The 26,455-nt window shown below is 38.3% G+C and overlaps 1 protein-coding gene across 24 annotated transcripts in view; it reads right to left on the bottom strand.

Moving 5' to 3' along the window:
* Positions 1–26,455, bottom strand: part of TPRG1 (tumor protein p63 regulated 1) — a 328,078-nt gene that overhangs the window by 96,593 nt on the left and 205,030 nt on the right. For 16 of the 24 annotated variants that reach the window (XM_047448032.1, XM_047448034.1, XM_047448028.1 and 13 more), the window contains 3 exons: positions 21,118–21,336; positions 13,329–13,420; positions 9,085–9,144 (listed from right to left, as the gene is read on the bottom strand). In XM_047448032.1, coding sequence (XP_047303988.1) covers positions 9,085–9,144; positions 13,329–13,420; positions 21,118–21,327 — 362 coding nt within the window. In that variant the 5' untranslated portion in view covers positions 21,328–21,336. Of the gene's footprint in view, positions 1–8,977; positions 9,145–10,532; positions 10,836–13,328; positions 13,421–21,117; positions 21,337–26,455 lie in introns of those variants that run through there. The other 8 variants (NM_198485.4, XM_005247382.6, XM_011512735.4 and 5 more) reach the window with 5 other exon arrangements.

Here is a 26,455-nt window from a genome sequence, read left to right as displayed (position 1 = left end):
AATACGCTTTCCTTGTTCCAAATCTTAGGGGGGAACAATTAGACATTACCCAACAGCATGATGTTATCTATAGATTTTATGCAAATTTTTCTTTTAAATAGAGGAAAGTTTTCCTCTTTTTTGTTTTTATCATGAGTGGGTGCTGAGTTTTGTCAAATACTTTCTCTGCATCAGTTGATATGATGATATATTTACTTGATTTAACCTGTTAATATGGTTGATTATATTGATTAATTTTCCAAATTGAACCTGCCTTGCATGCCTAGAATATACCCACTTTGGGTTATGATGTATAATTCTTTTTACACCAATTTTTTTTAATACTGTGTTATATTTGCTATTAAGAATTTTTGCATCTACAGTTATGAGGAATACTGATCTATAGTTCTATTTTTGTACTGTCTTTGGTTTTGGTATCAGGTTATACTGGCTTCATAGAATAAGTTGGGAGTATTTCCTTCTGCTTTATTTTTGGAAAAAAAATGTAAATTAATGTTCATTCTTCTGTAAATATTTCATAGAATTCTGAGCCTAAAATTTTCTTTTAGAGGAATTGTTGTTGTCGTCGTTGTTGCTATTGCTGTTGTTGTTGAGATGGAGTCTCGCTCTGTTGCCCAGGCTGGAGTGCAGTGGGGCGATCTCGACTCACTGCAACCTCCGCCTCCCAGGTTCAAGCGATTCTTCTGCCTCAGCCTCCCGAGTAGCTGGGACTACAGGCGCCCGCCACCACACCTGGCTGATTTTTGTATTTTAGTAGAGAAGGGGTTTCACCATGTTGTCCAGGCTGGTCGCGAACTCCTGAGCTCTGGCAATCTGCCCACCTCAGCCTTTCAAAGTGCTGGGATTACAAGCATGAGCCACTGTGCCTGGCCAGAAATCTTTAATTATAAATTAAATTTCCTAATTTTAGAGCCAGGGTCTCTCTGGCACTCTGGCTGGAGGCCAGTGGCGTGACCATAGTTTTACAGTTTTTAATTTATTATTTATTTATTTTTCTACAAATCACACACACAAAGAAGTTCACTGAAATCAACATTTGAAAGAACGCTGATGGGTTACAAATTTACAATGATTGCATTTTTTAAGTTACAGCGTAAGAAGTGTGTAGTAACAACTTGTATCAAAACAGCAGATAAAGAAGCTTCTCTCTACTTCTTCACAGTGAGGGCTACAATTGCGTCAATCTCAAGGCTAGAGGGAAAAAAATGACAGCTCCAAAGCAACCAGCATGACTTTTGAGAGAAGAAAAATTCAGTTCAGGAACTAAAACTGCCACACTGAGCAAAGCCCTGTGCCAGGGACAGAAGGGCAGCTGCCGTGGCCCTCCCTGTACAGCAGTCCTGCTTCCCCCTCCAGGAACTCTGGTAGGAAAGGTGGGGGAGATTCTCACCAGTTACCCTGCTATGGAACTGAGGCCTGAGAACAGGACAGGGCTACAGAGAGACAATCCCAAACTCCTGGGCTCAGGCAGTCCTTCTGCCTTAGCCTCTTGAGTAGCTGGGACCACAGGCATGAACCACTGTCTGCTTGGCTAATTTTTTTCTTTTTTTTCTTTTTTTTTTGTGAAGACAGGATCTCACTCTGTTGCCTAGGCTAGTATCCAACTCCTGGGCTCCAATGATCTCCCTTCCCCCTGCCTTTAGTCTCCTAATTGTTCAGTTTCCTAATTGTTATAGGGTTATTCAATTTTTTTTCTTTCATGTTGAGTGAGTAGCAATAGTTTGTGTGTTTTGCGAAATTGGTTTGTTTCATCTGAGTTGTCAAATTGATATGTGTAGAATTGTTAGCTATAATCCCTTATTGTCTCTTTAACATTTGCAGCATCTGTAGTGATATGCTGTGATATCCCCTGTTTCATTCCTGATATTGGTAACTTGTGTCTCCTCTTTTTTCTTTTTCTTTTTTTTTTTTTTTGTCAGCCTTGCTAGATGCTTTCCATTTTATTGATCCTTTCAGAGAGCCAACTTTTTGTTTTGTTAATTTTTTCTATAGTTCTTTCGGTTTTTTTTGTTTAATTTTTTCATTGATTGCTATTCTTATCTAAGTTATTTACTTTCTTCTACTCACTTTTCATTTCTTTGCTCTTCTTTTTCTAGTTCCTTGAAGCAGGGACTTAGGTTGTTGATTTGAGACTTTCCCTCAATTAATATGTACACTTTTCCTTTAGTGCTATAAATTCCACTTTCAGCACTGTTTTCGCTGCGTCCCACACATTTTGATAAGTTGTATTTTTTCTTCATTCAGTTTAATGTAATTTTTATTTCCTTTGAGATTCCCACTTTGATCACTGAATTATTTAGAAGTATGTTTAATTTCCGAGTGTTTGGACATTTTTCTATTTTTTTTATTATTTATTTCTAGTTTGACTCATTGTAGTCAGAGAACATACTCTGTATGATTTTAATTCTTTCAAATTTGTTGAGGTTTGTTCTGTGGCTAAGGATATGGTAGCTCTTGCATAAGCAAAATACTGCATCAGCATCCGTATGTAATGTAGATGCTTAAAAAGAATGTGCATTCTGCTGTTATTGAATGAAGTGTTCCATAAATATTAATTAGGTCCAGCTGATTGATGGTGTTGAGTTTTCTAAATCTTTCCTGATCTTCTGTCTAGCGGTGATACCAATTACTGAGAGAAGACTGTTGAAGTCTCAAACTATAATTATGGATTTGTCTATTTCTCATTTCTGTTCTATCAGTTTTTATTTTATGTATTTTTCAACTCTATTGCTTGGTACATTCACATTTAGAATTGCTGTATCTTCTTGGTGGATTGTCTCTTTTATCATTAGATAATATCCTTCTCTGTCCCTGTTAATTTTCTTTACTTAGCACTCTACATTTTTAATTAATTCACATGGCAAAGCATTTCAGAAACCACAGCAACTCTTGGACTGTAAAGTTCTGTCTACTGAACAGACCATTGGAAGCACAGGCTTCCTTCTCTTCACCCTTCTTGCTCTACGTGCTCTTCTTAAACCCACCCTACCCTCCCTACAGGACATTTTGGCACAACCCAGGAAACCCCTTAGAGAGAAGACAATGCATTGTTTGTAAATCAAGCGGCATGTTTGCTCCTAACAGGCTATAAAAGTCGTTTGTATAACTGCTGTTAAAATGGTCTAGAAGTGTTGATAGCCTCAACATTAAGACTGAGGTCTTGTTTGTTTGCTTTAAGGAAACACACTGGCAGGCCCCTAAATAATGAAGACTATGTTTAAATTATTGAGCAATTATTTCCAGAGCCTAATGCATTTCTAACAATGTCAACACCCTATTTGATATCCTTCAGTAACTTAAGATAGAATGCCTATAGTGGCCATGAAGGCAACATAAAAGCAATGGTGTGCTGTAAATATTAAACAAGTTCTAAAATAATCATAATAATAATGTCCTGACTTTATTACCTTGGTATAAATAACTGTCACAACTGATTTCAAGACACCAAGGTGAGGTTCCTGAACATGAAGTTGGAAGAGACGGCAGGGCGTGATGGCTCACGCCTGTAATCCCAGCACTTTGGGAGACCGAGGTGGGCGGATCATGAGGTCAGGAGATCGAGACCATCCTGGCTAACAGAGTGAAACCCCATCTCTACTAAAAATACAGAAAATTAGCCAGGCGTGGTGGCGGGCGCCTGTAGTCCCAGCTACTTGGGAGGCTGAGGCAGGAGAATGGCGTGAACCCAGGAGGCAGAGCTTGCAGTGAGCTGAGATCACGCCACTGCACTCCAGCCTGGGCAACAGAGCGAGACTCCGTCTCAAAAAAAAAAAAAAAAAAGAAAAAGGAAGAGACACCTATAGGTGGCTCTCATGAAGGGGTAAGAGCTGGTTCCCATGCACCATTGCACACTGTGTTAGAGAATAAAGAGGGGCTGGTGTAAGGCAGTGGGCAGTGGCAATGTGTTGGCAAAGCTGGGAGCACACAGCCTTTCTGAAGGCATTCAAAATTAAATTTAAAAAAACACGGACCAGAGTGGAAATGGCCTATGGATCCCCAGTTTGTGACTCCAGAAGAGAATATGATCCAAACTCCTTAGGCTACCATTCAGAATTCTTTACGTTCTCATTCATTCCTATTTTTCTAGCTTGTTTCTAGTTCTCTCACTCTTGCTCACTATAATCCAGCCACATTGAACTGTTTGTGATTCCCTCAGCCTGTCTCTGTTACTCTGCACATATTCTTCTCTTTTCCATGAATGTTTTTGTTTTTTTGTTGTTGTTGTTGTTGTTTGAGATGGAGTCTCGCTCTACAGCCAGGCTGGAGTGCAGTGGCACGATCTTGGTTCACTGCAAGCTCCGCCTCTCAGGTTCAAGCGATTCTCCTGCCTCAGCCTCCTGAGTAGCTGGGACTACAGGCCACGTCACCACGCCTGGCTAGTTTTTGTATTTTCAGTAGGGGCAGGGTTTCACCATGTTGGCCAGGATGGTCTCGATCTCTTGACCTCGTGATCCACCCGCTTTCGCCTCCCAAAGTGCTGGGATTACAGGCGTAAGCCACCATGCCTGGCCTTCCAGGAATGTTTTATACCATCATTTCTTTTGGAAACCCCTCCTCCTTTTAAAATCTTGATGTCTTCTTTACCTAATGTAACAATACACAGTGAGTTTTATGTTCCCGTGGAATCATTTGTAGGGCCATATATCAGTATGTATCATACTCTGTTGTGACTTTGTTTACATGTCTGTCTTTCTCACAAGACTGAGAGCACCTTGAGGAGAGAAACTGTGTCTTATTTATCCCTGTACTTTCATCACTTAGGGCAGAGTTGGGTTTACAGAGGGAACTCAGTAAAAAAATAAATAAATGTATGAATGAATGAATATAAATAAATATTACTACTAATAATAATAATTAAAAGCCAACTCTTACATGACATAACATATGGCAAAAAACTGTCATAAGCATTGTACATTATTAAGTAATGCAATCATTGAAATAACGCTCTTAAGATCCCTATTTTATAGATCACAAAACTGAGGCCCAGAGGACATAAGAGATTTGTACAACCATGGCCAGATAGCTTGTAACTGATGTAGCTAGGCATTTCGCTGCATTAGACTCCTTTCACCTCTTGACTTTTTCTGAGTCCTCCCTAATTGGTAGCAGTCATGAGAAAATAAACACTTCCAAGTACATTTGTGACTGTAGCAACTAAGTGCCCTCACTGTCTTATAATGCAGGTCACTCAGAGACCATTAGCTATCAGGGTAAGGTTGCTGCCATGGTGAATTTATAGAGAAAAGCAATGTGTTTAATTAAGTGGTTGTCAAAAACACCCACCCAGTATAAATGGATTCTGGCAAGAGAGATGCTTTTGTTGCTGCCAGAGTCCTGCCACAGGTCATTAACATCTTGATAGATTTGAGGCACTTTCTAGCCTGAATGCTTTCACCCAAAGACAGAGGCAAGTCTTACTGGGCTTTGAGTTGCTTGGAGGCCCATGGACACGGAGGCAGGACACAACGGATGGACCCTGCTAGTATCAGCCAAGGGCTTCATACAGTGGATTACTTGATCAGAACCAAATCTGAGCCAAGTGTGTGGTAAGTTCTGAGCCCAATCATGTGCCACACACTGTACTAATCACTGGGAACTAGGCTGAGATTGCTGAATATAAGTGACTCAGAATCAGGCCCTGCCTCAAGGAGTGCCTTCTTCACAAAGTGCACAATGAACTACACTTTATCGTATAATGTGAGCACAAAGAAGGGAGACAAGATTATTCCAGTTGAATCAATATGGAAAGGCTCTATGGACTTGGTATCCCTGAATGACAGGAGAAGGCCGGGTTAGCAGAAACAAGGCAGAGGCATACAAAACAGAGGAAATGGGATGAGTGCAATCATGAGGCCAAGGGATAGCACCGGAAATTTGGGGAAACAGCAGGCAGTTCAATTTGACTGATAGAATTTGTAAAGGCTCATAATGGTAAGTAAGGCTGGAGCAAGAAACTCAGTCATGACATACAAAGGCTTGTGGATGTAACAGACGTATATGGAAGCAGTGAGAACCCACCGAAATTCTTATGCATGAACATGAGAGTGATCTGGACCAGTATACTTCTCAAATTTTAATGTGCATAAGGAATCAACTGGGGATCCTGTGAAAATGCAGATTTGTGTTCAGTAGGCCTGGCTGGGATGAGAACTAGGGGTTAGCATTGCTAACAAGCTCCCAGGTGATGCTGGTGCTGCTGAATTCAGGACTACACTTTGAGTACCAGGGGTCTAGACTAGATGAGCGCGTACAAAAATCCATGGGGTTGAGTAGAAAATGCAGTTTCGAAATGGTAGTTTCCATAGTACTTTTATCATTCAGTTCCTCATGATTTAATAAGGATTAGAAATCTCTGATTTCCAGTTTTTTTTAACCTTTTTCCTTTTTAATTATTGGTAGTAGTGTTTTTATTATATGATTAGTTTAGCAGTCCTGATAACATAATGAGACTGTGACAAGGTAAACGTGTGACTGGCTTTAGTCCATCAGCATTGCCCACCATCCCTTACAGGCATTTGACTTTTTTGTTGTTCCTGGTCAAAGACTAAATAAAGTCAAATGAACAGCAAAAACCAGAGAAAGATCTGGAGAGGAAAAGGTCCCTGAACCTGCCCAATGAACCCCTGATCCTATTCCCTGCAAACAAAAGACAATCAACAAAGAAAACAGACACAGGCACAAAGATTATTTAACCAATTTGAACTGCAGTGATCACTGTATTGGGAGATGAAAAAAAAAAATCACAAAAGGCAGCAAAAGCAGTGTAACGAGAAGACAACTGGCCTGGGAGAGAGGTGTCATGAAGTCAAGCCCTCCTGTGACCCTTAATAAGTGGTTGCCCTTCGGCAGGTCATTTAATCTCTAGGTTTCTTCATCCGTAAAATAAAGCCAATAGTCCCTCCCTGCCTTCTCCCATGGGTCTGTTTGAGAATTGCATAGGATAGTAGGTGTGAAAGCGACCACACACAGTGTCACTTTGGGGACCAGGATACTTAAAGAGGCAACCCTGTGCCTGGAAAACAGTCCCTGATCACCATTTCTTCAATGTTCCTTTGTCTCCCAGGCTGCTCTTCTTTTTATTTAAAGATCTAATAGAGCCCTTTCTTCTGCAGAATCTTTCTAAATTAAGCATAGATGCCCTTCACACTTCCACTTACGGCACCAAATCCAAGAGACAGCATTTCTCTGTTTTTCAAATAAGTTTTTGCCAGAGGAGATCCAGCATGCTCTTCAGGGAATGCCAAATATGAAAGAGGCAACCCTTGGCCATTGAAGGTTACAATATAATACTGAGGCACGTGTGGAATCTTTGCACAACAGTGGAAGGGCTATTATGGCAAAAGTGAGGACAACATACCAGGTTGGAGCCTTATTTCCGCAACTTTAGAGCTGTGCTACTCTTCTGAGCCTAGATTCTCTCATTTATAAACTGAAGGTAATGTTTCCTACCTCAGACTGTTACTGTGAAGATTAATCTAAATGAAGAAGAGACTTTTTAAACTATAAAGTGCTATAGAAATATTATTATTATAGAAATAGCCAAAAATAAATGGGGATGCTTCATATAGTTTCATTTATCTTTCCAATCATAAAGTCTTACTCTGCCCCACTGATACATATTTCTTACTTGGATATTCAGTTTTGAAAGAATCATAATAAACCCTTACATTTGTGTGTCATTGACAGTTTGGAGAGTAATTATCTGATAATAGGTGAATGATTGAGTAACTTTATAAAAACTATATGGTAATCAGGAAAAATAAAAGGAAAAAACTGAGAGAAGTTCCAATTAGAGAAGATCATAAATGTTATATACATTTGCACTTTTCACAATAGCAAAGAGATAGAATCAACCTAAATGTCCATTAATACTAGACTGGATAAAGAAAATGTGGTACATATACACCATGGAATACTATGCAGACATAAAAAAGAATGAGATCATGTCCTTTGCAGGGACATGGATGGAGTTGGATTTGGAGGTCATTATCCATAGCAAACTAATACAGGAACAGAAAACCAAATACCCCATGTTCTGACTTATAAGTGGGAGCTAAATGATGAGAACACATGGACACATAGAGGGGAACAACACACACTGGGGCCTACCTGAAGGTAGAAGGTGGGAGGAGGGAAAGGATCAGGAAAAATGATTAATGAGTACTGGGCTTAGTACCTGTGTGATTGAATAACCTGTACAACAAATCCCCATGACACAATTTTACCTCTGTAACAAACCTGCACTTGTACCACTGAACTTAAAATAAAAGTTAAAAATAATTATACGCACTTGTATTCATAAAGACAAATGCATGGACATCAAAACATTTGGTGCATTTTATAAGTGCTCAGTAAATGTCATTATTAATATGTAACAATTTTTGGCAAGAATACATAAAAATAAGCTGGAATTATATACTATATATATATATCAAAAATTAAAAGTGGTTGTGCTTCTTTCAAGAATAGTAAACATCTAATGAACTAAAGGACCTATTAAATGGGGAGTCTTTGCACAACAGAGGAAAAACTATTAAAACAAGGGCATATTAAAGCAAACCTTAACACAAAAAAGGACATATTAAAACAAATTCACCAATTAAAAAAATTAAAAAGACAAACCCTAACCAAGTTCACCCAGCTTTACTGATAGTAAGTAGTAGATCCAGGATTCAAAGCCAAACCTTCTGATTGTGAATTCAGTGCTTTCTCTATGACACCAGGCTGACTCTTCAACTTCACTTTGATTCTACCGTCTATATGTTCCACATGGACAGTCCGATTTCACATATTAATTACACCGAAGCCCTGGGATAGACACCAGGTGGAGTTGGGGGAATAATGAAACATATTTTAAGTATCTTTTATAAAGATGAAGAACAAGAATTACCGGTTTTTAAATACCTTAGGCAACTACTCTCAATGAGGAATAAGAAGAATTAAGAACAACAATCGCCCACCACCACTTCACACTAACGTGTGTGGAGGGAAGATGCTGTCTCCTCCTGTCTCTTTAACCATTGTAGACAAAGACACCTCAAGTACATTCTGCTGAAGAGCCACTTTATTGCCATCATATCATACTTTTTGAAATTCCATAAAGTGTCAAGATGTTCTCCTTGGTGCTGGCTTAATGGATCCGTTCTAAAAGCAAACACATAGTTTTTTTAAAATAATCTTTTTTTTTTTTTTTCAGAAGGGCCAATAAGAAAGGTAATAGGAAACTGCAAGGTGGAAATAAACACTATCCTGTCTTTATAGATGTATATAACAGTCCTGGATGAGCTCGCCTGGAGGCCTGAATCCTAATCGGAGATTCATTAGAATTCTCTTAATGGTGTCAGCTAAACTGGGATCTAGCTGAGGTTTAGGGCTGCTTCTCTCCAGTGCCCCTCTTGGACTCTCTGTTTATTTTCTTTGTCTTCTCTTCCCAAGTGCCTGCAAACTTATTTTTCTGATTTTACTGAATAATGTGCCCATATCAATTTAGAGAATCACAAAGCAGCTTACCTGAATTAATTTGAGTACTACTCCTTGGAAAATGGCTTTACCAACTTAACGTTAGTAAAATAAACAACATATGCATTGTTTTATTCTTCTAAAATCTGAAAAATTCTCATTTCTCATTCACATCTAGTCCCAACAATTTTAGATGAAAGGTTGAGGGCCAATAGTGGTCTTTATACAATGGAAATTGATTGCACTTTCTCAACCCTTCAGTGCCTCCCCATCACGTATGGGATAGAATCTAAGCTCTTTAACATGATGCAAAGGCCCTTAGTCTCTTCTCCAGTCTCTTCTCTTGACAATTCCCACCTTGCCCTCCTACATCAAACTATTTCTAGGAGTTGATCAAATATGACTAAAGACTGAGCTGAGTTCATCAATCAACTCACACCTGCATCTTTGGAAAGAATTAGAACCCAATCAGCCTCAAGACGAATGCAGGAGTGCAGTCTATTTTCCTTGCTCTGTCACTTATATGTTCTTCATTTGGGCACTTCATGTTCTCCAGCCCACATTTCTCGTTTATAAAACAGGAATCATAAAACCAACAAAGTTGTGAAGCTAACGTAAGTTCACAGATGTGAAAATCATTTCACATGTGCTATACACAGTAAAAGGGCTTTTACTCTCATCATTCTGAAATGGGAATCCTTGTTCCAAAGCCAGGCATGCTAGACAGGCAGCCCTGTTGCTAGACAAGCAGCCAGGAGTGTCCCATCTCCATGGAATGAGCTAAAAGTTAATATGCATGAAGCTCAGTCATTTTTGTTATACATAAAAGAGAATCTCGGCCGGGCGCGATGGCTCACGCCTGTAATCCTAGCACTTTGGGAGGCCGAGGCAGGCGGATCACGAGGTCAGGAGATAGAGGCCACCCTGGCCAACAGGGTGAAATCCTATCTCTACTAAAAAAAAAACAAAAAATTAGCTGGGTGTGGTGGCGGGTGCCTGTAGTCCCAGCTACTCAGGAGGCTGAGGCAGGAGAATGGTGTGAACCCCGGGAGGCAGAGCTTGCAGTGAGCCGAGATTGCGCCACTGCACTCCAGCCTGGGTGACAGAGCGAGACTCCGTCTCAAAAAAAAAAGAGAGAATCTTGTGTGGTTGGTGAGGCTAGGGTAGTTGGTCCATATTACAGCTCCTATAATTCATAAGAACTAAATAAATGGGAAGCAAGAAGCCAGGAGTAATTGCAAGCTCTTACCTTTCTGGGCCTGCATGTTTGTTTATTTTCTTTAGTTTTTTTGTTTTGTGGTTGCTGTTGGGGGAGTTGGGATTTTTGTTTTTGTGTTCTCATTGTTGTTGTTTTTGCCTTTCCCTGCCTTGGTGTGCTAGAATTTTCAAACAAACAAACAAAAAGGCTTAAATATGAAAGGCCATTTAAATCCTCCATGAATGCTCCTCTTTTTGACAATTATTTTTTCTTATTTTTCTGCTTGAAAAGTAACAGTGGCTAGACTAGGAACCTCATTTATTTGGACCAGATGCCTGAACCATGGTCTTTACAACTAGCAGCGCTTTCCATTGCATAATGCATCTCGGAACCCACGATGAGGTTTTTAACAAGCAAAGAAAATAAACTGTCAAATTCTCACCATGGCAGAAATGACTGAAATCAGAACTTTTCCTGAAAGTAGGTTTTAATGGGGAAGAGGAGGTAAAGGCTTTTGGCAGAGAGAAGACCAAAAAGAACACCAAGGAACTACGATTTAAAGGGGATGGATGGGTTCCAAAGTGCAAAGGAAGAAAGTCTGCAAGCAAACAAGCAAATATGATAGTAAGAAATTATGTGTATGCAGGACTCATCCCTCATTGTTGTAGTTAATTTAAATAGGTACCACAAAACAAAAGAGAAATGTAAAATGAGTTTCTAGATAGGCTTTACCAACTTTTGAGCTTCCTATTTAGGTTCAAGCTGGGTTCAAAGTTTGGCTCTTTGGGGGACAGCTGTTCATACTTTTCTGAAAACTACTGGTGTTACCAATCATTGTAGTTGATGTTAAATCAAGCAGGCAGAATTGTAGTGCTAAGCTTCAATATAGTTCATGCAGTCTGACTTAGTTTTGGACAATTTATGTCTACACATCTTTATAATCACTGAATAAAAATAATCAAGCAAACAAAAAAAGCATATTTCTATATAAATAAAACCAATTAAAATGTGCAAGATTAAAGAAATTACCAGTTCTATTATCTGAGAACTCAACAACAGCCTTGACTAGATTTAGAAATACCGCATTTGTGTATTCTTTCTTGTAAGGGAGATGCAGTGTAGAAACAGATTAGTTAAGTGTTTGCTACTGATGGGATCTCCAAAATCTATGTTGACACCTATTCTAATCAAGGCAGAATATTCATTTGCAGAAGTCAAATATCACAATGGATGGGAAGTGGGGGTGGGAAATGAAATGCGTGTTGGTAAAAGTGAATTAGGAAAAAGCCTGAATTGCAGAGTTTTCTTTTCATTAGAGGTAACCCAGAAATGACAGAGATGGATAGTATAGAAATGAAGGAAGATGCTACAAAGAAAGAGCCTCTTACTAATAGTTATCACTTGTGAACGAAGAGGGGCACTAACAGCTATTGAAGGTCCATGTGCTAGGCATTTTGCTAATTTACCAACGTTATCTCATTTGGGCCTCAAGAATTCTTCAGATACATACTATTATCTCCATTTTATGCATGAAGAAACAAAAACCCAAAATTAACAGATAAGTTGGTGTCTAAGAGTTCATTTTTATTTATTTGAAACAATAGTATAAAATGGTGAGCAATCAGATGAACTCACAGGTGATAATGGCTCTACTTTCCATTGATTGAAAAATTTGTTCTGCTGGCCTGGATGGTAAAACATTCAAGTGTTGCCCTCCTGAAACTTAGTCTAACAAGACATCCTGCCCAGCAGTTAAAGATTAATGATTATTTACTCAAGGTATAGGAATCACAGAGCTTCTCTGCTGAACCCTTTTGTGATCAAGTTACCAGGCCAGAAAACAGAACTTACTGAATTAATCAAGTATCTGAACTGGGTAGTCTAATCAAATTATCTATTTAATATTAAGGCTTCCGTAGTAAAAAAAAATTGCCTTTTCTCTTATTATAGGGATATTTTACTTATTATAAAGACCATGGTATTACTAATATTTACTTGGCGGGTAAAGAGATGGTCACACAAACAACAGAATTTCTGAGAAGGCTAGAAAGGTAACCATCTTTGTGGTGGTATTTGCAAGCAAAGCTCTTATGGATAAGATAATCTTTGGGGGGAATGCAGGCAGTTATTGAAGCAATAAGGGCTTGAATGTTCGACTTGGTTTTTATCCTAACTCTGGAAATGTACCTGACTTAGCTATCTTCATGATTTCCCTGGTTTTTCTGTTCATGATTGTATATAAGATCAAATTCAAAGTATATATGTTGATTTTATCTATATTCTTTCCCAGACTTTCTTTCCATGACACCTAGAATGAGATGATTAGTAGTTCAATGTGTTTATAGGGGGAGTGCTTTTAAATAAGAGATTAGAATGAGAGAATTAGGAAGCCAATATAACAGTCTTTGAGAGTGGAGATACAGGCCTGACCTAAGGTAGACGTAGTGATGGTTGAGTGAGGGGACCAGCCCAGAAAACAGGTATAGGAGTCATATCTGGTCATATCATCAGCCACGGAATGCTGGAAAATGTGACTAACCTGGTAATTCAATCATTTATCTTATGTAGCAACCAGAGAAATTCTACCACAGGTCCATCTCCTATTCTGCTACAGTGATGTCAAGGAAAACGCTGTATTTCCACGGCCCTTCACTTAGCTGTGACTACTCACTTTGTCAAGAGCCAGAAGCCTTGAATGGTCTCTCCAGAAGTCTCAGCTACGTGACCTTTCAAGTCTTCCATGGCAGTCTCAATGGCCCCCGGCTGTGTGGAAAGGAGAAAATACCTAGTTTAGAGCAGACTTAGCCCACTTCGCGCTTATGATTAGTTAGTATATTCCAGCAGCTCCTCCGGAAAGCTGGTCACAAAGGATATAGTTTATGCAGTTGCCTGTATGCCTAACTGCCTTCCAGAAAACTTACTCTTGAACTCTGGTAAGCTTTTCTCCTTGGGTAGAGAAAAAGTGATCTAGGCCCCATCTTCTATAATCTTACTCAGATTTAATTATATAAATGAAGACAGCCACTTTCAGAGGAACAGTTTTCCCAAACAAGCATTATAAAGTTCAAAGCCTTTAGGAATCTGTACATTTTTAAATTAAACCTTTTTTCTCTTCCTAGAGCACATGTCAATAAAAAACAACATAGCCTTCTTCCAATGCTCTGACAATAAATTTTAGCTGACTCATGGAGATACACTCTTTCAGTCTCCTCACCTCATTTTCTGCTTCCTTCCCCAAACAGGTGTTACTACTTATAGGCCCAACCTTAGCTTAAAGATTGATTGTCATCTGTTCTAGTAAGTTCATAGACTCTTTAGCTCAATGACTCTCAAATTTCAATGCCCGTCAGAATCACCTAAAGTATGTGTTAAAACATAGATTTCTGGGACTCTACCCAGAGTTTTTTATTCAGCTGGACCAGGGTGGGACCTGAGAATTTGCATTTCTAACAAGTTCTTGGGTGCTGCTGGTGGTGTGGAGACTGTACTAAGAGAACCACTGCTCAAATGTACTTCGACAGAGAAGGTTGTGCCAACGTCAGTCACCTCCAGTGACCCCACTGGCAGGAATAGATGACTCTGGAGGGGAGTTGCCTAGGATTCTATGACAATTTTCCCTACACTCAACCTCCACTCTTTGTGATGCAGTCTGACTCTTCCAGTCCCACTTGTCCTCTCAAAAATAATACTTTCTTTAATGACACAACATGGGTATTTTTTTGGGTCTCTCTTCCTGTATTCACATAATTTTGGTCTCAACAAATATAACTGAGTAGTGAGACTAATATTTTTCAGAAGAAAAAATTGTTAAGTAAAGAGTCATGAAATAATCCTAAAATAAGCATTTTATTGAATGCTTTTATGCCAGGCACTTTGCCAAGGATATGTGAAGATGAGTATAATCATGTAGAATTTTTAAAACCTTATTTGCCTCGCTTATGGAAAATAATTGGCAAAGCCTATCAAAATGAAAAATGATCTATCCTTTGATCCATATTTTCACTTCTGTGAAATTATACTAAAGAAATTTTTGCATATATACAAAATGACATATCTATAAAGTGTTCTTTGCAGCCTTATTTTTGGATAGCAAAAATTTCTGGAAAAAAACCGCAAACATCTCTCAATAAAGGACTAGGGATATATATTATAGGATACATTCATACAATACAATATGATGAAGTTATAAAAAGTGTGAAGAAAATTGTGTTAATATGGGAAGATTTTTAAAGGTATTATCAAATGAAAGAAAAAAATGAACAGAAGAGAAGGTGAAATATGCCATTTTCTGCATAAAAAGGAGGAGAGGGAATAAAAACAAATATTTATGTTTGCTTCTATATGCCTAAAGTAACTCTTAAAGGATATATAGAAACTATTAACATTGGTTCCCTATGGGTAGTAACGAATGTGATGAAGACAGAAGATGAAGGTGATGTTTTGCTGTATACCTTTTCAAAAGTCAGACACAAAAAATAAAGCATGTTCTTTACAGAATGAATTGGTAGCCTCTGGAGTTCTATCAGTCTTCTCACTGTGCTGTTCTTATCTTTGGTAAAAATGTAGGTCAAGCCCTTATAGAACACAGAAGGAAAATATACCCAGATACAGAATTGTACTCTCCCCTATCTTACTATTATAGTTACTATAATAAGTTAACTTTAGTCATTTAGTGCCAAATATAATATGAAAGTATAAATACATTGACTTGTGTCTGGGACATCAAGGTGTAAATCTCAGCCTTTCTTATGAGGATCCATTATACACCATTTTGTCATTCCGTACATCAGTTTGCTCATTTATTAGATGAAGAAGATAACAACTGTAACTGAGTCATGCTACAAAACACTATATATATTATTACATATAAAATGGTAAATACTGATTAATAAAAATCTTTATCATCATTCTCATTATGGCTGATATCAGATAGAAGGAAAATAGTTATACCAGAATTTGGGGATCAAATGTTTACTGTAATTGAATAATCAGCTCTGAGACATCATGCAGCCTAAGACAAACAGGGAAATACAGTGGAATAATATGTACACATCATCTGACACAGCGTAACAGGCAATATTGTCTTTTACAGTCTAGCACTGAATAGTTTTAGTCAAAGCAAACCTACTGGGGGAATTTTGAAAACATATGTGTTTGTTTCCTTACATTTCCTTGAGCTAGACTAGCCTGGGGCCAGTTGTCACACAAACAATGTCCATGTCTGTGCTAATTTTTCTCGATGTAATGAGCTCCTTAGCTAAACAGGAGTGGTATAGAAAAGAATGTCTCTGCAGACTCAGACACTTGGGTCTCTCTTGTCATGTCCAGACTGCAGTCACTTTGCAATGAACACATAAAGTAAGAAAATCAGCTCTAAATCAGATGTGATTTTTAAAGTCCAAGCAAATTTGTCTTTACCTGAAAATGAAGGGAATATATCATATCTCATTGTGGTTAGTCCTCTGCTCTCATAAAGAAAAAAAAAAATCATCTTTTTTACAATCTTCACAGGATTTCAGGGTTGGAAGGAGTCAAGAAACCTTTTGCCCAGTGAGATAACTATTTTCTACACCCGAAAGAAGCCCACACAGGCAATAACAATACAACTAATATATTTATTTGTTCCCAATGTGAAAGCAAGACACAGGGAACCCTATAGCAAGAGAAGAGGGAAAGAGAGAGAGTATGAAAGCCAAATTAGTGTCATGGAAGCAATGACATCTTGCTACACAATGGAAAGTCCTGAACCTGCTTATTAAAATCTCGTTGCTCACAATAGAACACAGACTATAAAAACGCCACGGGGAACCATTAATTAAATATTAAAAGATCAAATAGTTTTAGTCCCATTAGTTTGTATGTAATTTACATTCTCGAGTATAAATTTAGAGATAATTCCCCATCCCAAATCGCTTTCAACTTTCTGATAAGGTATCTGCAAATATAGAGTCCTACAGAGAGTTTAAAAATATCTTTCCCCATGTGGACTAAGTATTGTTCCTTTCATAAGAAGTTGCTTTTGAATATCAGTCTCCACAACCAAGATTATCATAATATACCTCTAGTTATTAGCCTTGAGGGGTACTTTTGTTCAGAGAAGGCACTAGGCCTTTTTTTAGATACGTCTAAGCAATAATAGCAGATGAACTGAAACCAAAGGAAAAGGTTATCCAAGCAGACTGATGGCAAGTAGTTTGGATCTTTGTTTCTGTGACTTTTCATTCATTTTCCAAGGTCAGAGGCAGTGGGATGTGGTGGAAAGCATCGAGGGTCCTGGGTTCCAGGCCTGTCTTCTAGTTCTTGCGTGGCCCAGAGGTTGCTTGTTGACCTTGGCACCAAGTCATACCTCATTTGTGTGCATCAAAGGTTGGATTCTGGATTCAATATTCTTCAAGACCCTTCTAGCTGGGAGCTCCGAAGCTAAGTCAGAGGCACACAGTTTCAGAAAATAAATAATAGGTTGGAAGCCTGAGGAAAGGAAGTAACATCCCAGAGTGACCCATAAAGAATACAAGAGGTTTAAGGGGCCAGATATACTTTTTTTTGTGATCCAGTATTGAGTGATGTGGTCTAATATATGAGGTTATGATGCTAAAATTGACTTGTTGGTCAATAATTAATTTATGTGTCAGTCACCTCTTTGTAAATCTAATTTGTAATTCATATAATTGAACTTCTTTCTGATTATGGCATCGGCTGCTTACTCCTGGCACTGGAGAAATTGAGCAATATCCTGCCTCAGGGAGCCAATGAGTAACTTTCTTTTCTAGTTTAAAACATTTAAACAGTAAGAAACCTACATATACAACAAAAGTTAAATAAATTATAGTATATTCCCATAGTTGGATATTATGAAACTATTAAAAATTAGATTATGGAAGTATGTTATTGAAATGGGAAATAATAGTTGGCATATAATCCCATTTTTACACAAGAATTGTGTATATATAAGTAAAAGAAAAAAGAATATGCACCTAAATATATAAGAGCAGATTTAATACATTTTAGTTAAATTTGGGCAGTGATAATCTTTATTTTACTTTGCTTATTTACATTTTCTAATTTTTCATCAATAAACCACCTCCTGTGCAATAATTTTAAAACACTTTAATAATAGAAAATACCTGACCAAGTAATCCCTCCACTCAATGACTACCCTTCTGAATTTACAACATATATACTTTAAGTTCTTACTCCATGATAAGTTGATTTCTTTTTAATTGAATCTAATTATAAATTGGAAAACTAGTTTGAGCCCTAGCTTTGCCACTTGCTAGCCTCTTGGGCAAGTCAGTGATCACTATCTACCGTGACATTGAGCAAGCGACTCCCCCTTCTCTTGGCCTTATTTTCCTTTGAGAACAAGTGTGTTGATTAGCTCACTCACGCTCAAAATGTGGTCTCAGGACAGAGAGCATCAGTATCACCAGAGACTTTGTGGAAATCTAGAATATAATGTTTTGCATAGTAAAGATTGAGAATCATCTGACTATATCATCTGTAGATTTCATTTCAGCTTTAAGAAGTCATATTTTATCATGACTCTTTCATAGATTTCAATCTTTGAGACTCTTTATCTTATTGAATTATCCCTTCAGAAAATGAGTTAGCTTCCTTTTTACTGCTACAGACCCTACACGTCTACATTTATATCTTACCCTGAAGGTCATGATGAGGTCATGGGCATCTTAATGTTGTTTCCTATTACCAATTACAGAAAAATGGATGTAAAGTCAAGAAAAAAGAGAAAGCATTTATAACAACAATGAGATGCCATTTATAAAATGTTGATAGATGTGTTATGCACTCTACTAAGAACTTTTACAAAGTTAGCTTATTTAAATTTCTATATAAAAATGGCGTTTTATCTATACTTTGTAGATGAGGAAATATATGCATATACATCCAATACCCTCCCCCCAACACACACAGACACACACATTTCTCTCCAGTTTTTTTCAACTACCACCCATTAGCAGACTTGTGGTTCATAAGCTAGCAAAGCTGGATCTTTTTTTTTAAGTTTATCATTATAAACTTTAGTTAAGCCAACAGTTATATTTTCATTGTTCTCATGTGTGTGAATGCACATTTATTTTACTCACATGGCAATAAGAGCTCTTCATACTATGTTTGTTGGTCTGAAGGAGGGCAAACACTGAGTATCTTGGGAAAATCTCCCTATTGGTTCCCAGAGTCTTCAGGTTTACTTTAGATCCCTCACAAGCTTTTGAGAACTTAAGATTGTTTTCGATACACCTAATGAAAAAGATATTCTTCGCATTGATTGGAATCAGTCATTGAAAACACTTATAAAGGAGCCATAAATTCTACTGTGCGTGGTCAGGAAAGTATTGGACTTGGAGAAAGAAGTTCCAGAATCAAGACCCGGAATCTAGCTGCAGCCCTTCCACTAACATTATATGATTTGGACAGGTCACTTCATTTTTCTCAAACTTCAATATGTTCATCTTTAAAACACGGATGTTAAGCCCTCTCCTGCCTGCCTCCCAGTATTGCTCTGGGGAATCAAACAGATAAAGGATGTGAGTTTGCTGTATAAGCTACATGGTACAACACCAATACAATCATCATGTGTAGTGGATTTGGACTCTGTCAATTTAGCTGAGCTGAAACTACATTTTCTAGAATTGCTTTTTTGTGTGTGTTTCCAAATTAGGGCTGGCAACAAGAGACACCTGTGTAATATTCAAAAGGTAGAATTGAAACATAAGTCGTTTTCCCTGTTGAAGATCAGTGCAGGTCACCATGCACTGTGACAACTCATGTTCATGGCAACTGTTATCCTGGTTTACTTAACGGCAAGGGGTAGCCCCTGTACCTGCGTCTCCTTCCATCACAGTCAGGCTTTTTTTCTAAGACTTTCCTCTCCCTGGGCTAGTTAAGTGTGTAGCTCAGTAATGAAAGCACTAGCTTCTAAAAGTGACCTCACACCATCAAGGTTAGACTTGGTGGGAGACAGACATAGGTTCCAGTTTTTCCTCATAAGTTAAACATTGTCACCAGACATTCCAGTTTGTCCATGCAATTTTTTCCTATTCCTTTTTCCCTATTTCCTCTTCACAACTGCCAACTGATTGGCCTATTCTAACTTCAGGCCCAACACCAGATTCAGAGAAAACAACTTTCCATAGTCCCAGCCAGCTCTCATAATTGCATCAGCTCCCAGCAATAAATCTTTATTCTATATCGCAGTGTGTTCTTCTATCATCAAACCCTACATCATCAATATCAAAGATAGCACAACTCCAAGAGATGCTTTGATTTCCTTTGCAGCTATATCACACAGCTTAACTTTGCATATTCAATAAAGTTCACATACTTCGGAAAACAAACCATATGCTCTACATATGCAGAAACACTCACACAAACACACATATAGTATCGCACCTACTAAAGCATCTTGCACATAAGAGTATATGCAGTGTTTAAACACAGACTCACACAGGCACACACACACACTCGTTAAGTTGCTTTAGTTAAAACTTTACCTAAACCAAAGATATCTTTTGAAAGCAACCAAATCAGGATTTATTAATTAAAGCTTTGGAAAAGTCACAAAACCCTGGCCCCAATTTTTTATGAGAATGAGTTGAAATACATTTTTTTTCCAAAAAGATCTCCCACGTACACATGAAAATGAGATGTTCTCTGTTGCCATAGTGTAAACTCCCTGATTTTGCCCCCAATTGATTGTAACCTCTAAGCTAACCATGACTGTGCTAATAAGAATGTTGAAGGATTGGAAAGAGGATCTATAAGTAGGAAGAAGAGCTCAAGAGGGAAAGGTACTAGAAACCTATGAAGCACTCTCCACTTGAATCAAATGCTAAAAGTTAAAAATACTGCTTTTTTAACATCCAGATATACAAGCTCCCTCCTGCTTACTTACCCATCCATTTACTTTCCCAGCTCCATTGCACAGGTAAGAGAGCTCAGCTCCAGCTGGTCGCTGTAGGTTTGAGATTTAAAGCTACCTGCTCCCTCGTTGTAATATGAGCATCCCATCGTAAACTTTAGAGAGTCAGTGCGATCTTAGCAACCCTCTCCACTCCATTATCCATATCTTTTCCACACAAACAATGAATACCCTCACTGGATTAACAGCTTTGTATTCTAGCTGCTATGGTTCTCTCTTTATGGAATACTAGTTCTTTGAGATCAGGTTTAGCATAAACACAAACTGAGGAACCAAAGAAGGAAGCTCGAGGACACACTTCTCCTTAATACTATCTGTGGAATCAAACATAGATCTTTAAATTCTCTAAAGTTCAGATCCTTCATCTTTAAATAGGGATAAGGATAGCTACTTCATGATTATTATGACGATTACATGAGACAAATGTGAGTACACTCAGTAAATATGTGATACACAGAAGGATTTTAAGATGTCTTGGGGTGAATTTTTATATAGTATTTAAGAGAACCAATAAATTTACCCGTGTAGCAAAGTACTTCCGTGAGATATAAGGCTGATGATAAGGATTGGGGTAAAGAGTTGATTCGGTCACACTTGACTGCCTTGAAATCTGTCTTGGCATCGGGTCCTCTTCCTCCATCGATAGGTGGTCAGTCTCAGAGGGTTGGTCATCTCCCTCTTGCTTCAGAGACACAGCCTGGAATCCTTCAAAACTCCCAATTGTTGACATTTCTTCAGCCTAAACCAAGGGCAGAAAAATCTCATTGAAAAAATGTTACCTCTGTACCTGTGTCCTAGCTATGGCAAAACAGAATATGATGAGCAAACGGAATTCCTGAAACTTAAAAACATCCTTCATGTTAACTAAACAGAGGCATTGGTGGATACAGCTTCATAACACAGACTTCTAAATACCATCCACAATCCTGCAAGGTCATTTACCAGAGAAGTGAAGGAGAGACTCTCCGGACAGAGAAAAGGAGTTTAATCCCAGGAGACAGGAACCTGAACAAGAGAAGAGCTATATAAAATAATTACCAGACAATTTCTCTTCAAAATTGCATAGCATTTTTGGTTGAAAATTCACCAGACTGCAAGCTTATTTAAGAGTTAAAAGCAATGATAATGCATTTTCTTGTGTGCTTCTTGAGTCATAATAGAGCATAAGAGCACTTAGAACTGAACATGTTTTTAACTGAAAGATTCGAATTCTAAAAATTTATTCTAAGAAAATAATTAGACGAATACCCAAAGACTCACACACACGCACATGCATACACGCGTGCACACACACACACACACACACGGTTGTTCAGCTGGGCATGGTGACTCATGCCTGTAATCCCAGCATTCTAGGAGTCTGAGGCTGGTAGATCCCTTGTGCTCAGGAGTTTGAGACCAGCCTGGGCAACATGGCGAAACCCAGTCTCTACAAAAAATACAAAAATTAGCCAGACATGGCGGAATGTGCCCATAGTCTCAGCTACTCGGTAGGCTGAGGTGGGAGGTTCACCTGAGCACAGGAAGTGGAAGTTGCAGTGAGTCAAGATCATGCCACTGCACTCCAGGCTAGGCAACAGAGCAAGACCCTGTCTCAAAAAAAAAAAAAAAAAAGTTTGTTCATCACAACACCGCATCTAATAGAAAAATATACCAGGTTATATATAAAAGAAAAACACACCACTTTATATCTCATACAACACTGTATGTAAAAACATTAGACATTCATGCAACATTGAGTCTAACACCAAAAAATAAAATAAAATAAGTATCCATCAGTAAGAAGTTGACTAAATAAAATATGTTGCACTGTAAATACAATGTTATCACTGAAAGTGTGAGTGTATATTTTATCACAGAAAAATATCCAAAATATATTATAAATGGAAAAAAGTAAGTTAAAAAATATTATAAATAATATTATTCCAATTTGTTAAAATAATTTAGAAAGAAAGAGAAGAAAGATAAAGAAGGAAAGGAAAGGAAGAAGGAAAAAAGAGAAGAAAGAAAGAAGGAAAGAAAGAAAGAAAGAAAAAGAAAGAAAGAAAAAAGAAAGAAAGACAGAAGAAAGGAAGGAAGGAAGGAAGGAAGGAAGGAAGGAAATGTACCTGCATATGTATATACAGGCACACATGTATGGTATAACAGATTTAAAAATGTCTAAAAAGAGGGCCTGAAAAGAAGTAAAATAAAATATAACAATAGTTATCTCTAGATGACAGTGTTAGAGGTGATTTTTATTTTTGTTTGCATGTCTGTGGGTGCTAGTAATGATCACACATGGTTTAAAAATAAATAAAAATAATATCTTGGTTTCTATTTTGTACATATAAAGCAAAGCAAAATAAAATAGAAGACACATGTTAGCTTAGCCTGTGCACTCAAATCCTTTCAAGCTGACAGTGAGCATGTTATCAATGCTACCTAGAAAGTTTCATGTCCATTTTCACCATGAAAGTAGGAATGCCATATTATTCTCGGAGTCACCTCCTTGTTCTTAAACAAAAGTGGTTTTTAATCAATTTCCTTGGTTCTTGTGAAACAAAAGAAGGTGAGAAGAAGCCCCTATCCCCAGCAAGCTTCCGCTTTTGAAATTGGGATTAACTAGGCTATTCACAAGAGGTAAAAATAGTATGATCATATAATTTATTAGCTAATTTTGGGATATTTTGGCATGAAAAGGGTGCTATTGACAATTATGTCAGGATGATAGGAGTGAACTGGACAGTCTCAGGCAAATGTGGCTCTATATATATGTTCACCCTGAGGATTTGAATGTAGAAAACACAGCTAAGGTAACTCACAAGTGGAAAGCCTTATGCAGTTTGCTTTATATGATTTCTTAAGCTTTATATGTTTTCTTATCCGATCTTTCCAGCAATCCTAGAAGAGCTACTTAGTCTTTCCCCATCTTTCTGAGGAACACAGAGTAGATGGGAACCACCCAGGGTCACACTTGAATAGTCGTAGCAGCAAGTGTCCTCCCAACCATGCCCCCAGTATAGCACACCCAACATCTGCCTTATGACAGAAAAGATGTCTCTGAGCTTTTAGGTGATCTTTTAAAGTTAGGTGTGCAAAAGGTAGAAATTGGTCTCTGAGAAAACAAGGAATGAAGAAGCAGGAGAAAGAGTGTATGTGTGTGTGTGTGTGTGTGTGTGTGTGTGAGAGAGAGAGAGAGACATAGAGACAGAGACAGAGAAAGAAAGACAGACAGAGGAGGCACTCTGACCTTCCTGTCCCTGGCAGCTACATGCTGTATTTATGCAGGTCTGCCACCTTTATCACAGTGGGTGTTGGAAGGAAATGCATTTCTAAAGTTCTCTATAACCTGTGAAGGAAGGTTTGTGCCATTGGGGAAGGAAAGCCTGCTTCTGTATTTGCGCACTCTGTGAACACACGCCTAACAACAGACATCTGCGAAAGGCTCCTGTGCCTGGAAAACAGAGGGAGGATTTAATTAGCACCACTTCCTCTCCCTCAGGCTGTCTTCTCTGGAAACACTTGGGGAAGCTCTGCGCTCTGAGACCAAGCTGTTTGAGATCCAGGAAAGAAGGAAACTCTCAGCTCCGTTTAAATTCTCACTGCCATAAATAGTGGGAAAGTTGAGCCCAGCTATCCCAATCCAGAGTAATTCCAGCTCTGTTCCAGTCACAGGAACATCTTAGAAGAACAATAAACAGAACTTCCTCAGCTTCCCCAACAGGAGAAGCGTGCTGCACATCTACACATTCCACTCTATTTCTCATGACCTCTGGCCCAGTTCATTCCCAATTCAATAGTAAGTGCTCTTCTATCCCTGCATAGGCTGTATTCCGTGAAATGCTAAAGGTACATTAATACCAGTAACAGATCAAAATCAAATGTTCCATTGCTTTCACATAGATCAATCATCCCCTGCAACAAACTCATTGGGAGCCTTTTAGAACTGAAAAGATTTGCTGTTCTGTAATATTTCCCAGTAAATTTATATCTTCATTTAGAGAGTAAAGGCAGCACAATTTCATAGGAAAACAAAGGGTCAAAACTTAGAAAAAGTAAATGATGTTCAGTTTTTTTTTTTTTTTTTTTTTTTTTGAGACAGTCTCGCTCTGTCACCAGGCTGAAGTGCAGTGGCACGATCTAGGCTCACTGCATTCTCCGCCTCCTGGGTTCATGCAATTCTTCTGCCTCAGCCTCCAGAGCAGCTGGGACTACAGGTGCTTGCCACCATGCCCAGCTAATTTTTTGTATTTTTGGTAGAGACAGAGTTTCACCATGTTGGCCAGGATGGTCTTGATCTCTGGACCTCGTGATCCACCCGCCTCAGTCTCCCAAAGTCCTGGGATTATAGGCATGAGCCACCTTGCCCAGCCAATGTTCATACTTTTTCATGGAATCTTCTCATTCCAGGGAATTCATGTAATAAAAACTACCTGAAAGAAGCAAAATGCTACAATATTAATTGCTTATTCTGAGTAGTAATGAAAAATGGAAAACCAACTAAACACCTAATGTTCAAGGAATGGCTAAGTATATCCAACTGGTATTACACAGGCATTCAAAATAACACGCAAACATTGCAGTAGCACGAGATTAACAGTTGTATCTTCTTGAGTGAAATAAAGCAGGAAACCAAAAATATTTTATCTTGGAATGTTCCACTGAATAATTTCACATTGGTAAAGACTAGAAAGAAAATAGTTATATTTATTGAAGTAGTGGATTGTGCGTCAATTTTTGCTCTTTTAAAAAAATTAAATGGCAGTAGTGCTGATTTTTTTAGCATTAAAAAAAAAATCCCAAATAAAGCCTTAAGGAAGTACTACCTTGCCTTTGATTAGACAATAGAAATACTATATTTCTCAGCTGCCAGAAAATTCAGAACTAAATTTAATATAGTATTATAGTAAATAACTTATTTCCAGATCCTGGTCTAAGTATAACTGCTTCCATTTATAAGGAACTTCATCTATCTCTCTGAGAATTTTTCTAATAATATTATAGAAGCATGTAGGGCATAAATTATAGCTTAAAAGTTATTGTTTAGTTCAACTTTTTTATTTGGCAAATATTGAAACAGACCCCCTGAAATGAGGGTTGTCCATGGCCACACAGCTCCATAGAATGAAAACATGCAACCCGACCTCTAGTTTTCTGGACTCCAGTTCGCTGTTCTTTCCTGCTCTTCAAGTTGCCCCATTTAGAAGAAAAGCAAAGAAACGGCCATCAAACTCATGCACTGGCAAACTGGAGGCACTTTTGCCAAATGTCTGAGCCCAGTGAGTTCTGGGCTGAGAGATACGGCTTCCATGAAGCAGGACCAATCCCCAGCTTCCCGTGCATCAGCAGTCCCACAGCGAGCGCTGCAGGCTGAATGAAGCCTTTCTCTTTCCCCCAGAGCCAGGTTGACAAATCCTTTAGGCACAAGAAGCTCAGTGCCTGAGGTTCACAAAACTTTTAGCAGCCCTTGAAATATTTTACTTTCTTTTAAAACAAGAAGGAAAAAAACAGCTTTTAGGGTCACAAATTTAAAAGTTTTAAATTGTTCTCACATCAGAAAAAAGAAAAAGTAAAATTTGTAAGGCACCCCAAACCTATTACGTTTTGCCTAAAAGGGAAAAAACACATAATATTGAACGATTTAAAGTTATAGAAACAGAAGTTTTAATATTGATGTTGTTACAGTGGGAAGACAAAAAGGTTTGGGGCATAGAGATCATAATGTGGTCCTGGCACAAATCCACATTCTTTCTACTCCCATTTCCCATTTGAGGTTTCATTCTGATGCTCCATCCTAGACTGTCAGAGCTAGCCTACCCCCGGTCTGAGGGGGGTAGCTCTCCAGTCTCTTCATCATCGAGGATTCTGCTCCACCA

The sequence above is a fragment of the Homo sapiens genome, chromosome 3 (genome assembly GCF_000001405.40).
Source record: "Homo sapiens chromosome 3, GRCh38.p14 Primary Assembly".
Taxonomy (NCBI): Eukaryota; Metazoa; Chordata; class Mammalia; order Primates; family Hominidae; genus Homo; species Homo sapiens.
The sequence above is the reverse complement of the archived record's forward strand: the minus strand, read 5'-3'. Positions and strand labels throughout refer to the sequence as shown.